The sequence below is a fragment of the Homo sapiens genome, chromosome 17 (assembly GCF_000001405.40).
Source record: "Homo sapiens chromosome 17, GRCh38.p14 Primary Assembly".
NCBI lineage: Eukaryota > Metazoa > Chordata > Mammalia > Primates > Hominidae > Homo > Homo sapiens.
The window spans coordinates 33,214,270-33,239,659 of NC_000017.11; the positions used below are offsets into that span (position 1 = coordinate 33,214,270).

The 25,390-nt window shown below is 45.9% G+C and overlaps 1 protein-coding gene and 1 long non-coding RNA gene across 3 annotated transcripts in view; both read right to left on the reverse strand.

Moving 5' to 3' along the window:
- The window catches only part of ASIC2 (acid sensing ion channel subunit 2), a 1,143,682-nt gene that overhangs the window by 201,183 nt on the left and 917,109 nt on the right, over positions 1 to 25,390 (reverse strand). The window lies entirely within an intron of this gene.
- LOC124903985 (uncharacterized) lies at positions 19,548 to 21,628 on the reverse strand. The gene is made up of 2 exons (XR_007065721.1): positions 20,036 to 21,628; positions 19,548 to 19,673 (listed from the first exon to the last, which is right to left on the reverse strand). It is a non-coding gene; the product is annotated as an uncharacterized LOC124903985 (long non-coding RNA).

Below are 25,390 nucleotides of genomic sequence, written 5' to 3' on the forward strand. Positions count from 1 at the left end.
ACTTGTACCCTTGGCTGTCTCCTCCCCAAGATGCTCCTCTTTTTCAGACACATAATACAACACTGGGCTGATGGCCTGAAGGCTGACTTCTCAGTGGCTGCAGCCTCCTGGGCTGACTTCTAAGGGAATAGGTGAATCTGCTCATCCTCTCTGTCCTCTGGAGCTGGCAGACATTGTGTATGTGTGGATGAGGTGGTATATTAGAGCTCCCTGGCACCAGGCTCCTAAATCTATCCCTTTATCCTTCAATTGGTGCTGGTTATTGTGTCTGGGAAGCATACCATCATCTTCAATCTCAAAGCCTAAATCAGAGTGCCTCAAACTTTACTGTACATATGAGCTACTTGGAGATCTTGTTGAAATGCAGATTCTGATGTGATAGGTCTGGGGTGGCCTGAAACTCTGCCTTTATAAGTTCCCAGGTGATGCCGATGCTGTTGATCCCAGAGTCACAGGGACCTAAGGGGTCACCTGGAGGGAATGACAGAAACCACAGAGCTCAAGAAGAAGGAAACTAAAATTGCATGTCTGCTGCATGCCAGCTGCTGTGCTAGGTGGGTGAAAGTAGCCACCTTCTTAATCCTCCCAACAGACTTGCCAGGAAAGGATTAGGATTCTAATTGCACAGACCAGAGAACAGAAGCTCAGGAGCTACAGACATACACCCAGAGTCACACAGCTGGCAAAAGGAGGCAAGGGTTGAATTCTTGCATCTGGCTCATGCTCACTTTCTCTACTAAGAGGCTTCCCTATACATGAAGACGAAGCCCTGTCACAATTCACAAATGAGGAAATACACCAAGAAGTAAACATATGGAAGATGCTTGGTCTCACACTCTTCATCCAAAATGAAAAGCAAAACAGTGTGAAATGATCTCTCACCAGTCAAAATAGAATAGATACTTTAAAAGAATGATTGCATGTGGGGAAAAGTATTGTAAAATGGGGATTCTCATACGATTCTGGGGAGAGGGTACATTTGGGCAACTGATTGGAAAACAGATGGCACCTATCAAATGCCTTAAAAATGTTCCTGTTCAGTAATTATGCTTTTGGGAATCTATCCTAAAGAGTCTTGAAATTATGTATCCTAGCACTATCCAGGATAAAGAAGTAGTAGAAACAATTTAAATATCTGACAGAAGAATGAGTTGTAATTTATGAAACATCCACACAATGGAGTTTTATGTAGTCATTGAATTATGGGTATGTAATACCATGAAAATGTTAATGTTATAAAGGAAAAAAGTGGCTTGCAAAATGATACACAGAGAATAATCTAAAATTGATATTTAAAAAATCTAAAACATTAAGCCTAGACAGAGAAAAAAGCCTGAAAGAAATTAAACCAGTATATTAGTGGTTAGGTTTTGTTTCTGGAATTAGGAATCATCTTTTAAATGCATTTTCCCAAATGTTTTAAATATACATGTGGCTTTTTTTTTTTTTTGAGACGGAGTCTCGCTGTCGCCCAGGCTGGAATGCAGTGGCGCGATCTCGGCTCACTGCAGGCTCCGCCCCCCGGGTTCACGCCATTCTCCTGCCTCAGCCTCGCGAGTAGCTGGGACTACAGGCGCCCGCCACCTCGCCTGGCTAATTTTTTGTATTTTTAGTAGAGACGGGGTTTCACCGTGTTAGCCAGGATGGTCTTGATCTCCTGACCTCGTGATCCGCCCGCCTCGGCCTCCCAAAGTGCTGGGATTACAGGCGTCAGCCACCAAGCCCGGCCACATGTGGCTTTTATAGTGATTTAAAAATAATGTCCCTTCAAATAAACTTAGGTCTACAGCACTTAATCCAATGACCTAAAATTCAAACGTACACTAAAATTCCATAAACTATTCCTATTTTCTTATTGAATCACATGATAATTTCAGGAGACAAGTGACCTTCACTTCTGATTGACCATTGATTGGCAGTAGTTTCAGTTTCTCTGTCCTCAGCTTCTGTGATTATTAGGTCGGCGCATCAACCTAATAAATATGTCATGATGTCTAAGCAAAAACTCTAACGTCATCTAGAGAGTGATACATTAACGAAACCGTATGAGGGATAATCCATTCATTCAGCTGGCTGTGCTCTATGGATGCTGAGATGGAAGGCAGTTTGCAAGTGGCCCACAGTCTGGAAGGGGAGAGAAACCAATCAACTCTTGCTGTCTGGAGTGAGCAGAGGCTTTCAGGGCTGATCAGCACAGAGTGTGCTGAAGCGGACTTAGAAGATAAGATGTCCTGAATGACGAGGAGGTGTTAGGCAAGGAAGGAAGGAAGCTGATCCAAGCAGGGTTTGCAAAGACTTGAAGGGGAGACATTGACATTGAGAGCATGGTGGTTTCAAAGAGCCACCCCAAAGTGTGGCCTGGCATGAGGGTGCTATGCTTGGGGGAGGAAAGAAATGAGTTGGGAATGGCTGGGATCATCAGGGACTATAGATGCCATGTGGCAGGGTTTTCATTTTATTTGAAAGGTGATGGGGAGCCCCAAGAGGGTTTTAAAGAGGAGAGGATCATGACAGAATTAGACTTTAATGAGGATCACTCTGGCTGCAGAGTGGAAGTGAGACGGTGGGTGGTTCAATTGATAGTGTGGGTGAGCATAGAGAGAACCAGTCAGGGGGTTGTTTGAATAATTGAGGTGAGAAACAGTGAAGGGGTGGCCATGGAGAGAGGGAGGCAGTTGGGAGGGAGATTTAGGTGGTAAATCAGTAGCTACAGGTCTTGAAAATTAATTGGATGTGGAGGGTTAGGGAGAGGGAGGAACTCCCAGTGACTGTCAGAATATTTGTCATTGCTAATTTATGTGTTTTTGCTGGCTTGAATGTTACAGTAAATTAAAGGGTAGTTTGAGTGAACAAAATATAATTTAGACTTTGGGTTTGTGTGATGAGAGCCCCTGCTCTTGGACAGCAAAAGGCCCTGTTTCCTAGAGGCACTTCCTTCTGATGGATGGTTACCCCAAATGGATGTGGGATATGAAGGGTGGCAAGTGAGAGAGCTATAAAAGTTCAGTGGTTTCTGGGAAGCTCTCAGGGATGTAAGGCTGAACGTCTTTCTGCAGGAGACCTTCCCTCAAAAGGCAAAGAGAATCGTGATATTGTGATTTGCTTTTGTATATTTGTGAAATGCACACACACACAAACACACACGCACGTACTCATTTTGCAGATGAGGCTCTGCACGATTGCGTAGTCTATTTCCCATCATGACACTTGTTATGGCTGAGCGAGCCCGGAGCCTGAGTCTTTGCCTCTTGAGTACTTGCCCTTTCCCATAGGCTGTGCTGAACGCCTTTAAACATTCTGTGTCCACCACTCCCCCGGAGTAGCACCTTGTAAACCAAAGAAAGGAACTGACAGCTTGGGTCGTAGAAAGAGCCCAGACTAACTCCAGTCAGAGCTGAATCCAGGTTCCCTCTCATCCTGGTGACTCTGGGCTTGTCCTGTTTGAACTTCAGGTTTCTTCTCTATAAATCAGAGATAACAGCATCACCTTGTAAGCCTGGGAGGATTAAATGAGATAATGCAGGTAAAGCACCAAGTACATGGTAGGTACTCCATGCCTGTTTCTCCTTTTCTTTCTCTGCGGAGACTTTTAGAGCAGTGAGGCTCTCCCTCTGGCTCATGGGTGTGCTAAGTAGCAGCTCCCCTCTGGGTCTTGAGAAAAGGGACCCAAAATGACAGGTCCAGCTCTGTCTGGCATTCCACACTGTGCGCAGAAGCCCTCTTGGCGTAACCCAGCCTTGTGATATTTCTGTATAGTAGTATGGTAATTTCTGCAGCAAAACCTCCCGTAATGGCAAAGACAAAGTCTTCTTTGCTACGTAATGCAATTCATGCTTTTAAATGTTTTTATTTAAAATAAATCGGCCGTGCTGTTGACTCTGGCACAGAACTGTGGGCTGTGTTCTCAGTCTGCCCCTCTGCAGTGCAACGGCTGCCTCGGAGGGAAGTTCACATCCCATCCCTGGGAATCTAGAAGCCTGGGTGGGGCTTCTGATGGTGGCTTCCTGATGCTGCGGGGCAGGCCCAGGTCTGAGGTGCAGAGAATTGGGCTCGACATGTGCTCTCTCCTGCTTTTGGGAAAGCCCTCTGACTGTTCTGCTCAGCTGACAGCCTGTGTTCTATTCATCTGAGCATTCTCACATCGAGCCCAGTGCCCGGCACAGTGGAACTCAAAGTCTGTTGGGTGAATAAGTCTCCGCTTCACCTTCCCTAAGAAGTGAGTAATAACTCCTGCCTTGAAGGACTGCAATAGAGATGCAGAAGAGAATATGCCAAAGGCTGTGCCTGGTTCATAGGACATGCCTATTAAGTGGGAGCATCCACTATCATTCTTATCATTATTATAAGTTGAGCATTGCCGGGGTGGGGGTGGGAGCAGGAGCATGACTCTATCCTATGGTTTGTGGCAGCAGCATGCCTCACACACAGTAGGTGTTCAGTCAATGAGACTGGACTTAAAAACCCATTTTCCCTTTTGCCTCCAGCAGGGACGGTAAATCCGATCAGGTTGTTGCTCGGGGCATCTCTCTTCCCTCCTCACTCCTTCCACTCTCCTCTCCTTACCACTTCACCCCTTCAGGGGACACAGTGATAACAGGGCGGGGGGGCTACTGTATTTGATGACTCAGGATCTGCCACGCATGTTTTCCAACCACACCCGTGGAAGGGAGAGCTGAACTGGGCTGGGCGAATTATTTTTGGTATTTTCTCCAGCTATTCTGATCTCTAACATTTTGCAGTGGGTGGTTAGAGCTGGTGATTTTCCTTTCTTTTGTGCAAACGAGACCAGAATAAACAGCATAGGGTGAGTCACTTCAGATTCTTAGTGCTTCAATTACTTAAAAACTCCAGGGCCTGATGAAGCTTAGAATGTCACCTTCTCCAGAACAGCCACAAGCAGATGGGAAATGTTCCATATTCTAAGTAGTTGATGGCTTCCCGGCACAGGAAATCTGCTACTAGCTAGCTACTAGTGCCCAGAGAGAAGAGGAAGAAAGGCAAACCAGCATTCAGAAGGCAGCCCCCCTTGATGCCAAGCACTTTACACACATTACTTCATATCTTACTTCAGTTAATCTTCACGATGACCTGATGAAGTAATACACTTAATGCCTATGAGGTAATAAATAACAGCCCCAATACATATTTCCTGCCTCCTTGGTAGACAACAGGTCCACTCTCAGCATGTTATATCCATTATCTCCTTGAAGCCTTCCAACAACACTATGACAGTCATTGCTGTCTCCTCTTCATAGATGAAAACACCGAAGCTCAGACCAGCAAATGAGAAAACCAAAAATTGAACCTGAGTTCTTCTGCCTTTAAAGCCCGTAGTCTTAAGCCCCTGCATTTCCCAAACTGTGTCCTGCGGGACTCTGGGGTCTTCTGAGATGCTCATGGGTAGTATCAGAGATGGGGGAAAAGTTTCGGTGGTTCAAATGGCGTGGGAATTTTGGCTTGCATAAAATCCCGCTACCAGAGTGGGCACACAAGTTCCTTTTGAAGGGCCCTGGGTTGTCTATGTTAGAGAAAATCGTTGGCTCTGTTGAGCCTAGTCAAGTCTGACTTGCTAGATCATGCAAGCCATTTGTTCATTCCCAGGATGTTCTCAGGGTCCCCTGGGCTCTGCAGAGCAGGGTCATGGACATGCCACATTCTTCCCTGCCAGAGGACCCACAGAACAGTGCAGATGTCCCATGGGGGTTAAGTCTCCAGGGGAAATATTCAATCAATAAAAAGCAGCATTTAAAAAATTACTGTCATGAAAAAGGAACACCATTTTCTTGACTACCCCTGCTAACGTCTAACAGTCCTGCTAATGTCTCATATGGCACTGTTAGTGGAAGAGACACGAAGAAAACCCCTAGTTTAACTCTAGAATAGAGACCAGAGCCTTTGCCCCACCCTGGCCTCCCCAACTGATCTTCCAGCCTGTGTTTACATGCCTCCAGGGATAGGGAGTTGGCTACCTCACAAAGCATTCTGTGCTACATAGAAAACAGCTGTTGGAAAGGCCTTCCTTCTATTGACATGAAATATACTTCCAGCAGTTTTTGCACAGTGGCCCCTTTTGCCTCTGAGAGCTCTAAAAAAGTGTGAAGGCCACTGTCATTTCCCCTAGAGTCTCCTGTTCTCCTTGCTAACCATCCCCACTTCCCCATTGACGTGGTTTCCCGCCCCTTGGGAGAAGTGAATACACCTGGAAAGGACAGGAGACTCGAGGCTTTGGGTCCAAATCCTGGATCTCCTAACTATTATAGCATCTGTATGACCTTGGGCAATTCATTTAATTTCTCTAGGTTTCAATGTCTTTATCTATGGAAAAATATATAACTGGGTAGAATTTTTTGAGGATTAAATAAGTTAATGTATACAAAGCACCCGGCCTAATTCCTGGTCAATACATGTTATTGATCTCACCTCTCCATCTCTCCACTTCCTCCAGCTTTCTAGTACTCTCCTCTGTAGAAGTGTGTTACTATCCCCCATGAGATGCTTAAAGAATTCCAGATGTAGGGCCAGGCGCCGTGGCTCATACCTGTAATCCCAGTACTTTGGGGGGCCGAGGCGGGAAAATTGCTTGATCCCAGGAGTTTGAGACCAGGCTGGGCAATATGATGATACCTTGTCTCTAAAAACAAAAAATTCAAAAATTAGCTGGATGTGGTGGTGCACGCCTGTAGTCCCAGCTACTCTGGAGGCTGAGGTAGGAGGATCACTTGAGCCCAGGAGGAAAAGTTTGCAGTGAGCTGACTTACACCATTGCACTCCAGCCTGGGCCACAGAGAGAGAACTTGTCTCAAAAAAAATAAAATAAAGTAAAATAAAGAATGCCAGGTGTAGGCAGACCCCTGGAGTGGACAGTGGCTTCAATTCTTTCATTCTAGAAGCCAGTTCTAGGCCTGGCTCTGTTGTAAATCCAAATGAGATCTGGGCCAAGTCACTTTCCCACTCTGGGTTTCTGTTTCCTACATCTGAGGAACAACTCTGCCATTCTGGGGTGCTTGTGAATGTTCAAATACCCTTCCATATTACCGAAAAATAAAAAATTAAAAATTCAGCAAATGATCTGGCTTTCAGAAACAATGGTATAAAACATTTTTACCCCAAACAAAAGAGGTAGAATCTTCAAGGACCAGGAACCAACATGACCGTTGTTTTTGTTTCCTGACTGACTTGAACATTTGAGTTTATCTTCAATTGACCTCAGAATAATAAGAAATCTAACTGATGAGAGTTTGTGTAAAGATTTTAGGCTTCTAAATTCTGCTCCTACCTGGCACTGACAAGAAAAACAAAGTTATTTAAGATGTTTATTTTAAAGAGGACCCAATGAAATGAATTCACTCCTTTCAGATCTGACTTCATAAAAGAGCCATAATGTGCATTATGAAGAATTTACTAATTGGGCTTTTTATAGACCAAATAATTTAATTTTTGTTTGAGCTTTAAAATATGTTTATTGTACAGGAAAATCGTAAGATACTTTTTTTTTCTGAAAGGTCATCTTAAAGGTAATTATTTAGAATTTAGATTTAGTTTATTCATGAAAACAAAGTTATAAATGGTGATCAGATTCCCCTGCTAGCCCGATAGATGTTTAAACCATTCATAGCTATTGATCATTTATACTTCACCGATGATTGATTTGTATTTTCTTATTGTTACTGCCTTCTGTGGTCCTCCCATCATGCTTCAGGGCTCTATTTTGAATCGAGTGTGTTTGGGAAGGCTATCCTGGAAACTTAACTATTCCCTAGGATTAGGTGGGTTCTCTGTAGTGCAACAAAGAGAGAGTATGGTGGCTTGATACCTGGGATGCTTTTTGTAGTTAAAAGGGAACATAGTGACTGGGGGAATTCTTGTGTCTTTAGTCACAACTCATGGCTTTCCATCTACTGCAGTAACAGTTAAGCAACAAAACTGATGAATAGTTAAATAAAATGTAATATATCCATATAGTGGAATATTATTTAACAATGAAAAATGAAGTACTGATATATGCTACAACATGGATGAACCTCTAAAACGTTATAAGTGAAAGAAGTCAGACACAAAAGGTCACAGGTTGTATGATTCTTATAGGAAATGTCCAGAAAAGGCAAATCTACAGAGATAGAAAGTAGATTAATGAATACTTAGGGCTGTGGAGAATGGGCAGTGACAGTAATGAGCATGGGTTTATTTAGCAGGGGGTTGTTCTAAAATTCTGTTACTGTGATAGATGCATGTCCTTGTGTATGTTACTACAAAACATTGAATTGCACACTTTAAATGGGTGAATTGGCATGCAAATTATATCTCAATAAAGCTTCCTTAAAAAGAGAATTAAGCAGAGCAATTGAGAGGATATTTGTCTCTTGCCTCTGCTCCAACAAGAGCTTTCTCCACTCCCCTGGCTTAATGCTGGCCTGCTGTTCACATAAATAAACAGGAATGTTTGTAGCATGGGGATTTGTAATCTAGTCAATATATTTATATGTTTCTTAAAAGAGAGCATCTTGTGCAAAATACTATTCAATGAAACTACAGTCTAGCAGTACTCAATCAATCAGTTCATCAATCAGCCATTCATTCATTCCTACAACAAACTTTTCCTGACCACCTAGTCTATACTAGATAGCCAGTTCACATCAGGAATCCAGGATCACACAAGGGAAAACAATTCTAACCAGAAGCCCAGTTTCTTACCAGGTAGCCTTGTTCTCACTAGGGAGTCAGGTTCACATCAGGGAGCCGGGTTCATACTAGGAAATCAGATTCTCACCAGAGAGCCATGTTCAGAAAAACGCTTTGATGTACTAAAAGGCCTAATTAACCCTATTTTAGATGCCAACCTGTTCTCACAGAACTGAACCAAAACACAGACAACCATCTCCTTCCCCCTTTTCTTTTTTTTTCTTTCTTTCTTTTCTTTTTCTTTTTTCTTTTTTAGAAGGAGTCTCTCTCTGTCACTAGGCTGGAGTACAGTGGCGTGATCTCGGCTCACTGCAACCTCCGCCTCCAGGGTTCAAGTGATTCTCCTGCCTCAGCCTCCTGAGTAGCTGGGATTACAGATGTGTGCAACTATGCCTGGCTAATTTTGTATTTTTAGTAGGGACGGGGGTTTCACCATGTTGGCCAGGCTGGTCTCAAACTCCTGACCCCAAATGATCTGCCCACCTCAGCCTCCCAAAGTGCTGGGATTACAGGCGTGAGCCACCATGCCCGGCCCCCCTTTTCTAATGTATGTCCCTTAAGAGCAGATTAGTTATTTTTAAAGGAAAAGTCAACAAGCATCCAAACATTTGAGGTTATCAACCAAATTAATTAGTGTACTTTGTGAAAAGAGTTCCAGCATGGCTTCAAAAAGGGAATCTGACTGGCGCATTTAAATATTTCCTTATATAATATTTGGTATCAAGCCAAAGAGCTTTGAGACAAAGGAGCCTAAAATGGAAGTGTTAAGGTCACCACCATTACGGCTCTCTTAGAAATGGGGTGGCAGTATTGCAGAGAAGACGGACAGTGCGAGTGAAGCGCAGCACCCCAAATCTTACTAGGAGCCTCCTCCATGCCGGATGCTTTGCTAGGACCTACATGGGGCCGGGATCACAGAGAGTAGAGACCTAGACTCTGTCTTAGAGGGACAGGGTTTGCTGGGAGAAGATAAGTCAAAGGGCAATGAAGTCCTGGTCACAGACACCAGATTTTTGCACATGACATTAGAAAGGACAGGGATCTGCAGGCACCTCCATTTGATTTCTTTTCAAGGATTTTACTAATAGACCAGCTTCTGGGAAAGGGCTCTCATTGTGGACTACATGAGGCTTGGACACGTTGTCTCAATATGGAAAACAACTTCAGATGCAAGCCAAGAACACAGGGTCAGGTGTTGTGCATGTAAGCTTGGCAAATCCTATCATAAAACCAATGGGGCTGTGTTAGAATTGGCGTTCTCTCTGTCTTGTGTTAATTATTATGCACTTGCTTTCTGGGCTTTGAATTATTCATGAGGCCAGATATAAAATACGATGATTATTGGTAATCTCCAGCTGTGGCACCTGAATGTGCAGAGACGCCACATCTGTTTCTGAAAACTATGGTCTGGGCTAAGGAACTTAGTGTGCTTTGGAGGAGCAGAAGGTGGCAGAGAGGGGAGGAGAGTGGTCAGAGGAGTGAGATCAAGAGGAGAAAGGTAAAGTGATGTTGCTCTCAGAGAAGGTGGAAGTGTGTCGATCAACAAATTGGCTAAAATATAGAGAGCAAGAATACGGATCTAACTAGAAGGAAGAGCTGGATCAATATCGAATGAATGAATAAATGAATGAATGTATGCATGTGGAAACAGGGAGGAGGGGAGGAAAGTGCCTCCTTTGAGCCATTTTATCGAATTCTCACTGCCATTCAATGAGGCAAGGAGAAAATGGACGCACACCTTGTTCCATTTAATCCTCATGACTTATGATATGGGCATTTGCATCAGTGCTTGACAGTGTTGGCAGCTGGGGTTGCAGAAGAGGCCTGCAGTTGCTCAGTTATTAATGGGGACTTCAGATCATGTTGCCCTATACCCACTGGCCAGACATGATTTGGGGTATAGGTGGGCAAAGCTATAAGTATCAGGTACTACTGGTGGTAGGAAGTGATCCAATGCCTTCCTTCCCTGGGAGAAGGAGTAACTCTACAGAGAATGCTGCCAGACTGAGTGCCCAGTCCCTTGGACAGAGTCTGATGGGGAGCTGATAGATGCCTCTTGTCTCTCCACCCACTCCCATCTCTGCTGCTCTTAATGGGAGACCTGGCATAGAAAAGGCACCTCCTGAGTATGAACAGGTCAGCCTTTTTGGGAGGGCAGACCAGCGTTCTATCAAAATGAAAAACCCTTGATGGCTTTGATTCAGCAATCCTGGGGAAATCGTTGCATATGTTGAATACCAAGCCTGTGCTGTGGCAATGTTTGTTATAGCAAGAAACTGAAAACAATCCACGAGTGCATCAACAGGTGATGGTTCAGCACAATGCCCTGTACAGAGAGGTGAGATATTGATCCCATCTCTGCCATTTACTGTCTGCGTGATTGGAGTAAGTTACTAACATTTCTGAATCTCAGTTTTCTCGTCTGTAAAATGGGGATGATAACAGTAACTTCCTCACAGGGTTATTGCAAGGATTAGTATGTGTAAAGTGCTTAGAACAGTACCTGGCATCTAGTCAGAAGTTAGTAAATGTGAGTAATTAACAATGCCCCACAAATACAAAATCATTAATAAGAGTAAGCCCTCTGATACCTAGGTTTTGCCCTCTGGCCCAGTGGCTATCTAGTCATTTCTGCTCCCAAGGGGTCGCTGACCCCATGGAGGTTAGGGGGACTGGGACTGTGCCCTAATCTTACAGCTCAGAAAGTGAAAAGGGTCACCAGATCAGTACAGCTCTGAGCAGCCAGCCAAGGCTTGGGTGGGAGCCAAACTATGCAGGCAGCCTGACCTGGCTCCTGGGGCTAAGGCAACACTGGCCATAGTCTTTGGTCTCAGCCACCAGCAGCCAGGAAAGGTGAGGAGATATTGGAATTTGTGTTCCCTGGCACCAAAGGAGGCCATGGAAGAGACATTTCCTTAGCCCAGTCACTAATATGGTTACCCAAAACCTTCCTACCATCATCACATTAGACTTTCTTTCCTCTCTCATTTTTTTCATTCATTTATCAAAAATTGTTAGCTCTCCTACCATGTGCCAGGCAGTATCATAAAGATTCTAGGCACTCAGAGACAAAGATGTCTCCCATCTTTTGAGGCACTTGTGGTCTACTAGGAAAGACAGGCAAGTAAACAAATAATTACTTGCCTGTGTGAACCCCACACAACAAAGACATCATCTGCTTTGTTATTGGTTTCCAGCCTTAGAAATTGCCTAGTAACAAACCCAATTGGTTTGTTATTGGTTTGTTACTTGTTATTGGTTTGTTATTGGTTTTCAGCCTTAGAAAGTGCCTAGTAAGTAGTAAGCTCATGCTAATATTTATGGAATAGAGATGCCCAATAACATAATCTGTACAAGGTACAGAAGTACTATACACTAACTCTGTTATGAAGGCAAGAAAGTCTTAGAAAGTGATGTATAAATAGGGTTTTGGAAGATGAATAGGAGTTTTTTAGGTTAACACAGCCTGCAGTTTAAGATGTCTATAACATAGCTAAAATTATAATTTTGAGGCCACAGAAAATCACTATGGTGCTTGTTCTCAGATTAATGAAGGCAGAAGCCAGCAAGGAAAAGAGGTTATGAATGTCTCTCCTCTTCTTGACCCCCCAGTCACTCTCGTCATTTTTTTCATAAACCTTGGCGCAATTATATATAATCCACTTATCTGTTTATGTGTTGTTTGGGTCTCTGTCTCTCCAGCTCTTGTAATGGTGTCTGACTTATAGGTTAGTGCTCAATAAATTCTCACTGAGTAAATGAATAAATGGGAAAAGGAAGAGAAGGAAAGAGTGGGCCCTAAGTATCCACAGCCAGGGGCTCTTTCCCTGCCTGGGTAGATCTGAGACAGTGCTGTCCAATAGAAATATAAAAAGAGTCTCATGTGTAATTTCAAATTTTCTAGTAGTCCTTAAGAAAAGTAAAAAGAAATGATAAAATTAATTAATATTATATTTTTCACTCATTACATCCAAAGTAATGTAACTTCGACATGTAATCAATATACAAAAATTACTGAGATTTATATCTCAATAATATTATTGAAAAAAAGGTCAATAACTTTTTTTTCAAGCCTTTCAAGCATTTGAAATCCAGTGGGTGTTTTTTATTTAGAGCACATCTCAGTTAGGATTGGCCACAGTTGAAGTATTCAGTAGCCACACATGGCCAGTGGCTGCTTGGCAGCGAGGCCCAAGGCCTCCTCCACTCTGTTGCCCAGCATAGACTGTCAGTGGGGCAGGCCTGGGCTTAGCACAGAACTTGCCACCCTAGTTGGAGGGGCACTGGAGGATGTCTGATGAAATGGGAATAAAGTCTTCTAGAATTGTGTCATTTACCCTTTTGCCCCTTCTCCATGTGGCCACCCTGGTATGCCACCTCTTCTTGTCCCTGGCATATGGAGACATTCCCAGGCCCCTCCTGCCTGCAGCTCCAGTACCTATGTTTCTCTTTTGTGCTCTCCCCTTCAGCTTGGGGAGAATTTAGCATTTCCACAGGGATTTGCATTGATCAAGTGTGACAGTGAGACCCAGTTCCCTTGGACATTTAAAATATCAGGACAAAGGAGAGTGAGGAACTGGGCTGTAACTGTGAAGCCAAGGACACCTGGATGCTGTTAGACCTCTTCAACTGTCCTTTCCAAAGCGAACCTGACCTCCAGGCCCTGTAGTTAAGGAACAGGTGGAAAGTACCACAGGCCACAGTACTTAAGCCATCCCAGGCATTGTTCTAAGAGCTTTGCATATATTACCTCATAGAAGCCACATAAAAACCCAATCTGATAGGTGCTCTTATTGATCCCATTTAACAGATAAAGAAACTGAAGCACAAAGGTGTTAGACAATTTGCTCCAGGATTCAGCTGGTAAGAGGCCAGCCCAGGATTTGAGCTCAGACCATCTTGCTCCAGAGTCTGGCCCTTACCTGTTGTGCTCTAGGAAAGGTGCATATGTGACTCTCCGGGAACTAGGAAGAGACAGAGATCACTTCTCACTGCAGGGGAAGAAGGAAGTAGAGAGATGAGAGAGGAGAGATGAGAGAGTATGGGGTCCAGCAGATAGGTAGGAACTTTGAAAAGGGACTTGAAGGAATCTACAGAGATGACAGGGACAGTGTACTCCACATGGGGTCCTTGCTTTTCTCCTCTGAGGCACTCTTAGTGTTGTCAGCACTTGGACAGAGCTAGAAAGCCTCCTGTGCTGTCTTATTGTTTGGGTGTAATTTCAAAACCCAGATAGAACGAGAGCTTAATGGGTATGAAGTCTCCTTTTGGGATGATAAAATGCTCTGGAACTAGACAGTGGTGATGGTTGCAGAACACTGTGAATATACTAAGGGCTACTGAATCGAACACTTGAAAAACGATGGTGAATTTTATGCAACGTAAATGTTATCACAATTGAAAAAAAAGAAGGGGGGTAAGAGGAGATGCAACTTTCACCAGGAAGAAGGAAGAAAGCAAAGCCCATGAGAAGATGAGGCTGCAGGTCCTCCCGAGGAGGCAGGCCCATCTGCACGAGGGTGTGTCACATCCACGTGCGCATGGCACGTCCATGTGGTGTGAGTGCGTGACATCCATGAGACACATGATAGCCACACAATATGTCTCCCACTCATGAGTGTGTAGCACCCACCATCCCAACAAGAAGTCAAGTCAGTCTGAAAACTTCTAGCATGTGAGAGTGATTGTGTATCACTCGGAAGAGAGTATGAGTGACAACTCAGCCAGGCTGCGTCACGTGTGAATGAGCTGGAGTCAAATGTTGACATCGGCCTCCTGCCAGTTACAATCTACATGCACTTCCACTATCCTTCCCTGTACTGGAGCCAAGGCCTGTTGGATCCACCAGCTCTTTCCATTACCCCACCCAGGCTCGTGCCTCCATCCTTCCAGGAGGAAACAAGGACACAAAGGTGGCACACCTGCCTCCCAAGTTCCTCCCTGTCCTCCAGGAGCTGGATCTCAGAGCTGCTAAGACAGAAGCCAAGACACTTGCATGGGGATCCTGAGCTGAGGTTGGGGAAGAGAAAGGTACCCAGATATGCTCAGCAAGTTAGGCAGAGACTGAGAAGTTTCATCCAGAGGAGGAGCCATTCAGGAAGTGGGCACAACTAGCCTCGACATTTCCCTTGAGACTGGAAATACAGGAACACGTGAGACTGTTTAAAGTGGGGTGGTTTGGACAAATCACCTAGCTTCTCTGAGATGGAAAGAGGTGTACCAAGCAAGAGGAGAGCTGAGATGGAGGAGGGGATAGGAAATGCGGGGGGAAAGTGGAATGAAAATGGAACAGAGCTGATAAGCCCTACGGAAATTACAAATAGCCTTCCTGGCTTATCCAGGGTTCATTCGTTCAATCATTCATTTGTGTATTTATTCAAAAAACACCACTGTGCTGAGAGCTGGGGAAGGGTCTGAGGACAGATATGAGGAATGTGGTCTGAGCATGGGGACAGGTAGAATCCAGGGTGACAAGTGCCCTAGCCGATGTCTGCACTGGCTACACGCAGGGCAGAGAGGAGGGCAAGTGTTTCCACCTGTGGGAGGACGCTCTTGGGCAACATTTCAGGGAAGAGAAAACGCCTGAGCTGGACCTTGAAAGGCAGATGTGTTTTTCCATGCAAAAGGGAGAGGGAAGATACAGTGTGAAGAGCATTCTGGGAGGGGAACAGGGTGAGCACACACATGGAGACATGAAACGGTACAGCTCATTTCGGGAATTGAAATATGGCCGGAGCCTGGGACGCATGGGAGCCAATAAATAGACGTCTCCTTGTTGCTGGTCTAGCTGGCTGACCTTGGAACAAGCTGCTTTTCCAGTTTTGAGCATGTCTCAGTCTGTACAATGAGCGAATCAGATTAGATGTTTCTCAGGGGACTTTCCAGCCCTGGCTGCTCCTGGAGGGAGTGAGCTCCCTATCAACCAAAATATTCAAGTGGAGAGCAGGCAACCACTGGTGGGATTCTAGCCTTTGATGGACATGTGAACTACGTAACCTTGAAGGTCCTTTCCAGACCTGAGTTGTCCTGATTCTGGGATTCTGGAGCCCAGATGGGGCCTGTGAACTGTGCCAGGCAGCCAAGGATGGTTATGCAGGACATCTGTTCCCTCCCCTGCATCCCAGGTGAGACCCCTGCTGTTTCATGAAAGTCTGATGTACACACACAGGCTGGCCATTGAATGATTCATTTTCTGGGGTGAGGCACAGGACTACCTTCCACTCTGCCTAATAAATGGTCAGAAGCCCCCATGGGGCTAAAAGCTGGCAGCTGGCCACTCTAAAGTGATAGAAGCCAGCTATGGGCTCTGACTTCTGCTATATTAACTCAATATGTATTGGAGCCTCTACTTTGCTGGGCTCAGAAGTTGCTCTGGTGAGACTGTCACTCTTTGGCAGAAGCCAATGCTCAGTGACAGGTAATGAGCTATCCAGGACAAAAGGAAGGTGACCTGCCCACCAGTCAGAGACCATGACCAAGGGCAACACCTGCCACCACTTTTGTCTTGGTCACTGCTCACTCTGGCTGCAGAACCAGAGGCAAGTGGTGTGAAGGTACAGAGCAGGGTTGTGGACTGAGGGGGCCGGACTTCCAGCTCAGCTCTGCCACTTCCTCAGCTTGGGTATGTGGAAGAACCATGTCTTCTCCATAAGCCTCTGTTTTCCTTGCTGTAAAATGGGGATAATCATGACTGTATGTACCAAATAAAATAATGGGGTCAGTATTGTGTAAGCTGTCACACACAGTGCGAAGGGGGTAAGAAGGGGGGTAAGAGAAGATGCAACTTTCTCCAGGAAGAACGAAGAAAGCAAAGCCCATGAGAAGATGAGGTGGCAGGGCCTTCCAAGGAGGCAGGCCCATCTGCGCAAGGTTAATGCTGGGCTGGGGTTAATGGTGAGGTTCCCACTTCAAGGTGATACGCAACGAAAATACGTTCTATATGGTTTCAATATAGGCGTCTTTAAAAAATTATTGATTTAAAAATTATTGATTTGTGAATGACTTTGCAGGAATATATCTCTTGTATCTTGTGCTTGGGAGAGAGAAACAGAGAACCTTTTTCTGTTAAACAGAGGAAGAACTAATAAGCTGCCCAGCTTTGGGAGCCTAAGACAGGGCTCTCTTGTCCTTAGGGAGCTGAGCATCGAGGTGCAAAGAGCTGGACAGAGGAGTTGTCTCAGGATCAAATGTCAACCTGTGTGCTAACTATGCTGCCCAGCATGAGGGGAGAGGTGTGGCACCAGGCACGTTCTCGCTATCAGGGTCAGGACATGGCATCAACTGGCTAGGTGTTCATCTTCCCTGCCTTTCAGAGTAAATGTATCTCCATGCCTCCCAGGCCTAGGCCTAATATCTGTGGGAGTTGGCACCCCTTGGAGAGGGAATTCCAGATTGCGGGTACCTGGAGTCTGGTCTGGGGAAGGGGGAATGCTCATGGGCATGGCTCAAGGACTGCTCATGCTATACAGAGGTGCATGGCTGGATGGGGGCCGGAATGGGGCCCCGTGAAGCATGGGGTCTGGGTCCTAGGGTGTCTGGTTGCCCCTAGCTTGTGACGGCTTTCTCTCCTCATGGCTGGACCCTGTTGCCCTGTCCCCAAGGCATTTGCTGAAGTCCCATCCCAGACTTGATGGGCCCTCACTGCTGATCCCCACCTCCAAACTGACCCTTAGGTGCTGAGTTGGAGACCCATCAGATCGAGGCCTGATGGGTCACTGTGATCAGGGTTCTGGAACTGCTCCCTGACCCCATTATTTCTCAGGCCTAGAGAAATAGGCCTGGGCAGAGGAGTAGCTTCCCAGCCTGCTTCTCTGGTTAGGATCAAGTCTTGCTTCAGCATTTCTCAACAATGGGGTCTTATGCTTTGCTGGCATCACTCTGCCAGCAAAACAATGTTTGCTCAAAATTGAGATGAGCAATGGGGAGGGGGTGAGCAGGGAGCCTGTCCTCTCCTTTATATTCATTCATTACTTTTCTTTTTATCCAACAAATATTTATTGTCTGTGATATCTCCAGCACTATGTTAGATACTTGATCTGTGCTCTTCACAGTTTATGCTGACACACTCCTAAATAAATTTGGAACCTTGGGATGAACTGAATGTTTGCCTCTTCCCCTTCAATTCATATGTTGAATTCCTAGCTCCGGAAGTGATGGTATTTGGAGGTGGAGGCCTTGGGGGATAATTAAGTTTAGGTCAGGTCATGCGGGTGGAACTATCGTGATAGGATTAGTTTCTTTATAAGAGGAGGGAGAGAGAAACTTCCTTTTCCCGTGCCATGCAAGGACACAGTGAGAAGGAGGCCCTCTGCAAGCCAGGAGAAGAGCCCTCACCAGGAACTGAATTGGCCAAAATGGATCCTTAATCTTAGCCTTCCCAGTCTCCAAATCTGTGAGAAAATAAATTTCTGTAGGTAAGACATCCAGTCTATGGTATGGCAGCCTAGGTATGGTATGGAATGGTATGGTATGGTATGGTATGGTATGGTATGGTATGGAATGGTATGGTATGGTATGGTATGGTATGGTATGGTATGGTATGGTATGGTACGGTATGGTATGGTATGGCAGCCCAAGAAAACTAAGACACACCTCAAACATTTATAAACAGCATCTAAATATACTTTGTTTTGTATTTGTGCTTTAAAAATATTTTCACTACAACTTCGGGCTGCAAATTTCCCTTGTTGAGTTTATGTAAATTGTCAATCCTACAACCTAAATGGTAAAGCCATCATCATTGTCAGGCCAATCAGCCAATTCAGAATCTTTTTCAGCCAAAAAGTCTGACATTTTTTCAATTCAAATAAACCCATTAATATGCATCTCTGTGGCCACTTCTGAACGCTAAGAGAGGAGAGAGATGGACACAGGTAATGCAGAGTCCTTGGCACCTGGCTGCCCTCTTCAGTGGTGCTTGTATTGTGCTTTGTCCTGGGGGTCTTCTTCCTCTGGAGCGATGCATTCTTGTATGGCCCCTTTGGTGGGCACCAAGAGATGCCCACCCCTCAGGGCAATGTCCCCTAGAGGGAGTGAGGCCTGTCTTTCACTTGTGAAGTGGGGGAAGGGGGCTTTGGAAGGGAGACCTGAGAAGGCCTGTCCTGGCAGACTCCAGCTACGTGCCCTGGAGACCACGTGGAAACTGACAGTCTGGGAATGGATTCTTTTACCACTTTCTGTGCCTGTGCACCCCTTGGAAATTCCTCATATACCCTCAGCGGTCTGGGTAAGCCATCAACTTCATCAGTTGAAGACAGCTACACTAGATGATTCCCAAAGCTCCCTTCTAACATACTAGGATTTGACATCTTGAGCCAAAGCCTATGTTGAGGCTCCACCTAAATCCCAAATCCTCTTTTCCCAACCCCCACACTGCCTGGCTGTGCGACAGTGCCCTCATGCGCTAGGAGGTTTTCCCTCTAGCAGCAGAAAACTCACACACTACACCACCGTGTGTGTCACTCTCTCCTGAGTTGAATTCTACTATCTGACACAATTCACATACACACGAACTCTTTCCAGAATTTAAAAACTGAAATGACACTTGAGGTTACGGAATTGGAAATTCACACACACACACACACACACACACACACACACACACACACACATGGCATAAGCAGCCATTCAGGTATTCTGTACACAAAAGTCTCCACATCTGCCTTTCAACTGGTTTTTTTTTTTCTGAACGGCATCAGGCTGGGTGGATGTAGGCCACACATGCTGTGTAGGCTGACGTTGCTTTCACAATAATGATTAGAAGGTCTCAAATTCCAATGTCAGATGACTTGAGGTGCTAGCTCTTTAAAAAGAATCCCTCGTTCTACAGAAAACACACACACAGACACATAAACAGACACACACACAGATACACACACTTATTTTATTTTATGAAGCAGATTGTCAAGAGAAACCTCCGGTGCACACGCTTACCAAGTGCTGCTTCTGTACTCTTGGTTTTCTTTAGGCGGGACAGCCCTGCTGAGCCCTGGATGCTGTATTGTAAAAGGGAAAGTAGGTCATGGCCACAGGCTGTCAGTCCTCAGCATAAATCAGTTGCAGGGAGATAAAACCTGTCACCCACAAGGAAGTAGGCACGTGGGCACCCACATGGCCACCCTGTCTTCTTCTCTAAGGCTGAGACAACCCATGTTCCTGGGGAATGCATTTTATTACAACCACCAGAATGCCTGGAGCGATTTTTTTTCTTTGAAGTTAGCAGCTTTTTAAAGGAAAGGTGAAGTTCGTAAAAAGCCATGGATGTTATATAACTACACCATCCATCTTTTATGAGGTTCAGGGCAGGCTGAACACCTCCTTGTAATTTACTAAAAGTGGGGACCCCAGAGGCTCTTACTAGGTTTCTCAGCTTCTCTGTGCCTTAGGAAAAGCCGTGGATATGTGGCCCTGGCTGGGCCCCTGCAGAGTCCGGCTTGGTGGTAGGCTGGCATGGTGGCTTGTGGGTGATGTGTGGAAGTGCAGCGGCAGACCCTGTGGTGGGAGGTGAGTGGTTTCAGAGTGGCCCTCTTCTCTGCCCACAGGCACTCATCTCCTTCATCTCCAGGGTATGAGGAGGGATCCAGTCTTGGATGCTAATTGTCTTGCAGTTCGTTCAGGCTGCAATAACAAAAGCACCTTAGACTGTGTGGCTTAAACAACAAACATTTACTGCCCACAGTTCTGAAGGTTGGGAAGTCCAAGATCAAGGCACCAGCAGGTTGGAAGAGGGACTGCTTCCCATTTCCTAAATGGCATCTTCTTGCTGTATCCTCACATGGTGTAAATGGGAAAAGGAACTCTCTGGTGTCTCTTTTATAAAGGTAATAATCCTAGTTGTGAGGGCTCCACCCCACGACCTAATCACCTCCCAAAATCTTCCACCTCCCAATGCCATCACATTAGGGGTTAGGATTTCAACATATACATCTTGGGGAGGGGGACAACAAACATTCAGACCATAACACTATGCGTGCCCCTGAGTTCCTCTGTGAGTTCCCCTGTGGGATCTGGCTGAGGCCAGACACAAAACTGCGGCTGCATCCTTTCTGGTCTTCTCCTGCTTCCTTCGCTCCCTCTCTCCCACAGGCATGTGGCTCTGGTCCCATTTTACTTCTTCTCCATTGCACTTGCCTATAGCCCTCTGTTCTGGAAAGCAAGGTTCACTGCTGGACCCTGGGGCATGAGACATAAGACACACACAGCCAGAGATGCAGGCAGCCACAGTGGCTCATACATCTTCAGTCATAGGAATAACCATATACAAAAGCAAAACCAAACTAGGTCAGTGTGCACCTTCTCCCTCCCCCTTCCCAGGATCAGGTAGTCCATTTTAACAGGGGCAACCCACACACAGGGCTCCACTCCTGGCCTCCCTCCCTGTGGGGCTGACGTGGGAGGGAGTTCTCTGGTGCTGGCAGTGTTCTAGACCAGGCCAGAGGAGAGCTGAGCCAGGATGAGTCATGCATGGGCTGGGAATTGGTGCCTTCCAGCTCTGAGAGTCCCTGCTCTAATTCCACCTCAAATCATTTTTGTAATGAGTCACAGTATAAGTACAAATTATTTAAACATAAGTGGTTATGGGAGGAGTGACATGCAGACTAGGAAAGCCCGTGGGTAACCATAGCTCAGCTCCCTCAGGTAACAGATACCAGCCGGGCTTCTCAGTGAGTGTTCAGAGGAGCCCTCTGTGCTGCCCTGTCTACGTCTTTGCAGAAGGAACCTGCCCTGGACAGGCCCAGCCTTGGCCTCCATGGAGGCAGCCCTGAACTCTTCTTTGGTGCCAGATTAAGATGAATTTTGCCCCAGGATGGATCAGACCCAGAGTCACACCCATAACTCATTCATTCAGTGATGAGATTTGGGGCTTTTTGAGCTGATGATATATCATTATTATTATTATTTTTTTTGAGACAGAGTTTCACTCTTGTTGCCCAGGCTGGAGTGCAATGGTGCAATCTCAGCTCACTGCGACCTCCTCCTCCCGGGTTCAAGCGATTCTCCTGCCTCAGCCTCCCGAGTAGCTGGAACTACAGGCGTGCACCATCACACCCAGCTAATCTTTTTATTTTTAGTAGAGACAGGGTTTCACCACGTTGGCCAGGATGGTCTTGATCTCTTGACCACATGATCTGCCTGCCTCGGCCTCCCAGAGTGCTGGGATTACAGGGAGTTGATGATATTTAGACAAGATTTTAGACTTAGAGGTGATGGGTGCTAGAATGGGTTAAGACTTCTGGGGATGTTAGTATGGGGTGAATGTATTTTGCATGAAGGAAGGATGTGAAATTTTGGTAGGCAAAAGGGTCGGCTGTAGTGAGTTCAATGGTGTCTCTTCAAAATTCATGTCCACCTGGAACCTTGAAATGTGACCCTATTTAAAATTAGGGTCTCTCTCTTTTATTTATTTATTTTTTTTGGAATAGCATCTTCCTCTGTGTTGCCCAGGCTGGAGTGCAGTGGCACAACCACAGCTCACAACCTTGAACTCCTGGGCTCAAGTTATCCACTAGCCTCAGCCTTCCAAGTAGCTTAGACTACAGGTGCACGCTACTACACCCAGCTAATTTTTGTTTTTGTAGGCATGAGGTCTTGCTATGTTGCCCAGGTTGATCTTGAACACCTGGGCCCAAGTGATCCGCCTGCCTCAGCCTCCCAAAGTGCTGGGATTACAGGTGCATGCCACCATGCCTGGCTTGAAAATAGGGTCTTTAGAGATGTAATTAGTTGAGGATTTTGAGACAAAATCATCCTGGATTTAGAGTGGGCTCTAAATTCAATGATGGGTATCTTTATAAGAGAAAACAGAGGGATATTTGGACACAGAGAGAAATGGGCCACGTGTCAATGGAGGGAGAAATTGCAGTTATACTGCCTTGTACAACTCAAGGAACTCCTGCAGCCACCAGAAGCTGGAAATCTTCCTTAGAGCCCTCAGAGGAAGCATGAGTCTGCCAACACCTCGATTTTGGACTCCTGGCACCAAAATGTGAGACAATAAATTTCTGTTGTTTGAAGCCACATGTTTTGTGGTAATTTATTATAGCAGCCCTAAGACAGGAGATGAAGGGTTCACTGGCATGCCAAGGACATGATGCAGGGACATGTGAGTGTGTGGTGGTGTGTACCTGTAATCCCATTTTGATACAGGGACATGAAGAGTTCATAGTCATGCTGAGGACAGTGCTGCTGAGAAGTCCATCATCCGGGCAGGCCACAGAGCACCATCAGAGCCAGAAGAAGTTATTGTTGGCTTCCAAAAAAGTCCCAAGTGGATGTTAGTGAGGCACAGAATGAGTGCCATCTAGGGCTGGGCCTGAGGCTGCAGAATGGAGGCCACAGCAGGGTTTGTGGTGGGAGAAGGTATTGGTCTCTGCAATTAGGTAGACCTGACATTCCCACTTAGTAGTTTTTTTTTTTTTTTAATACGGAGTTGTGCTCTTGTTGCCCAGGCTGGAGTGCAATGGCATGATCTCAGCTCACCGCAACTTCCGCCTCCTGGGTTCAAGTGATTCTCCTGCCTCAGCTTCCCAAGTAGCTGGGATTACAGGCATACACCACAACACTCAGGTGATTTTGTGTTTTTAGTAGAGATGGGGTTTCTCCATGTTGGTCAGGCTGGTCTCGAACTCCCGACCTCGGCCTCCCAAAGTGCTGGGATTACAGGTGTGAGCCACCGCGCCCGGCCTTAGTAGATGTTTGACTCTGGGCAAGTTCTTTGCTTTGAGCTTCAGTTTTCATATCTCTACAATAAATGCAATGTATCTATGTGGCAGGGTTGAGGCAGGATTAAACGAGGTATGCAAGTGGCACAGGGTGGATACTGCACTATTAGTCTCAGCCCATCCTTTGGTGTTGCTATTGCTAATGCTAACTGACATGGCTGGGGTAAGTCCACGCCTTCTGGGAGTCTCAGTCTTCTATGTAGCCATCACTCTTGCTCCATCTCTCACTAACCACCAACGAGAACTTTTCCTGTGCCTCACACTGTGGTCAAGGACTTCTCATACACTATCTCACTAAATCCTTCCCATGGAACTGGGAGCTATTGTTAACTCATTTTACAAACGACGAAACAGGATTCAAACCCGGTAGGCCTGTGTGGTTCCGAAGCTAGAGCCACTCAGCAATGTAATAAAGGCGGCTGTTGTTTTCATGGTCACAGGTTTTGTTTTTATTTTTGTTGAAAGCACCATTTCTCTACCTGATTTCATTACCACTCGGGCCTGAAGTCACGTGCTGGTGAAGGATCCCACAGGTGAAATCGCAGAGGCTGTGCTGGAGAAACCCTGTGAGAGCTGCACGACGGCACTGCAAGATTTTTGGACTACGAGGCTGCTCCTTGGATTCACTCACCCGGAGAGACGAGGAGGCTCTGGGACTCCAGGGAGGCTGGCAGTGTGGCCCAGAGCAATGTTGAGGCTTTGGCTGCAGGGAGCTGCTTCCTTACTGGTCTCCTGCTTCCTCTGTTGCTGCCCTCTGGGCTATTCTTGACATTAGAGCCAGCAAAGGCAACACGCTGCTGCTTGGCTCAAAACTTGCCAGATGTCTCCCATTTCATGCCTAGTAAAGCTGCATGCCTACAACGGCCTGCCATCTCTGTGAGATTTGACCTCACCTCCTTTTCCATCTCCTGCCCTGTCAGCTCTGGCCAGACTCTCTTCCCTGTTGTTGCTGAACACACCGGGCCCACTCCTGCCTCAGGGCCTTTGCGTTTGCTGTTCCCTCTGCCTGGAATGTTTTCCCCAACACGGCTCCCCCAACCAATATCCACAAGGCTCACTAATTCCCTTTATTAAAGTCTTTGCTCGGCCGGGAGCGGTAGCTCATGCCTGTAATCACTTGAGATCAGGAGTTTGAGACTAGCCTGGCCAACATGGTGAAACCCCACCTCCACTGAAAATACAAAAATTAGCCAGGCATGGTGGTGCGTGCCTGTAATCTTAGCTACTCAGGAGGCTGAGGATGGAAAATCATTTGAACCTGGGAGGCGGAGGTTGCAGCGAGCCAAGATTGCACCACTGTACTCCAGCCTGAATGACAGAGAGAGACTCTGTCTCAAAAAAACAAACAAACAAACAAACAAAAAGTCTTAGTCCCAGCACTTTGGGAGGCCGAGGCAGGCGGATCACAAGGTCAGGAGTTGAAGACCACACTGACAAACATGTGAAACCCCGTCTCTACTAAAAATACAAAAATTAGCTGGGCGTGGTGGCATGCGCCTGTAATCCCAGCTACTCAGGAGGCTGAGGCAAGATAATTGCTTGAACCCGGGAGGCGGAGGTTGCAGTCAGCCAAGATCGCACCACTGCACTCCAGCCTGGGCAACAGAGTGAGACTCCGTCTCAAAAAAAAAAAGTCTTTGCTCAAATATGAACCCTCTCCTAAGAGCCCTGATTAAAATTGTAATCCCCCGGCCCCAGAAATCCCTGCTCCCATTTCCTGCGTTTGTTTTCTACATAACACTGATTCCATCTGATAGTCTGTATGTTTCACTTATATATTTGTTTACCCTTATACTCCTTATGGCTTAAGTGAAAACTCTGCAGGACAGAGAATTTGTTTTTTGTCTCTTTTGCTTTCTGCTATACACTCTGATGCCTAGAATACTGGCACACAGTAAGAGTTCAATAACTGTTTGTCAAATGAATGAATAAATAAATGAGGATTCTTAAGATCATACAGGGTAATTGGCCTGGGTGCTCAGTGAGTGTTA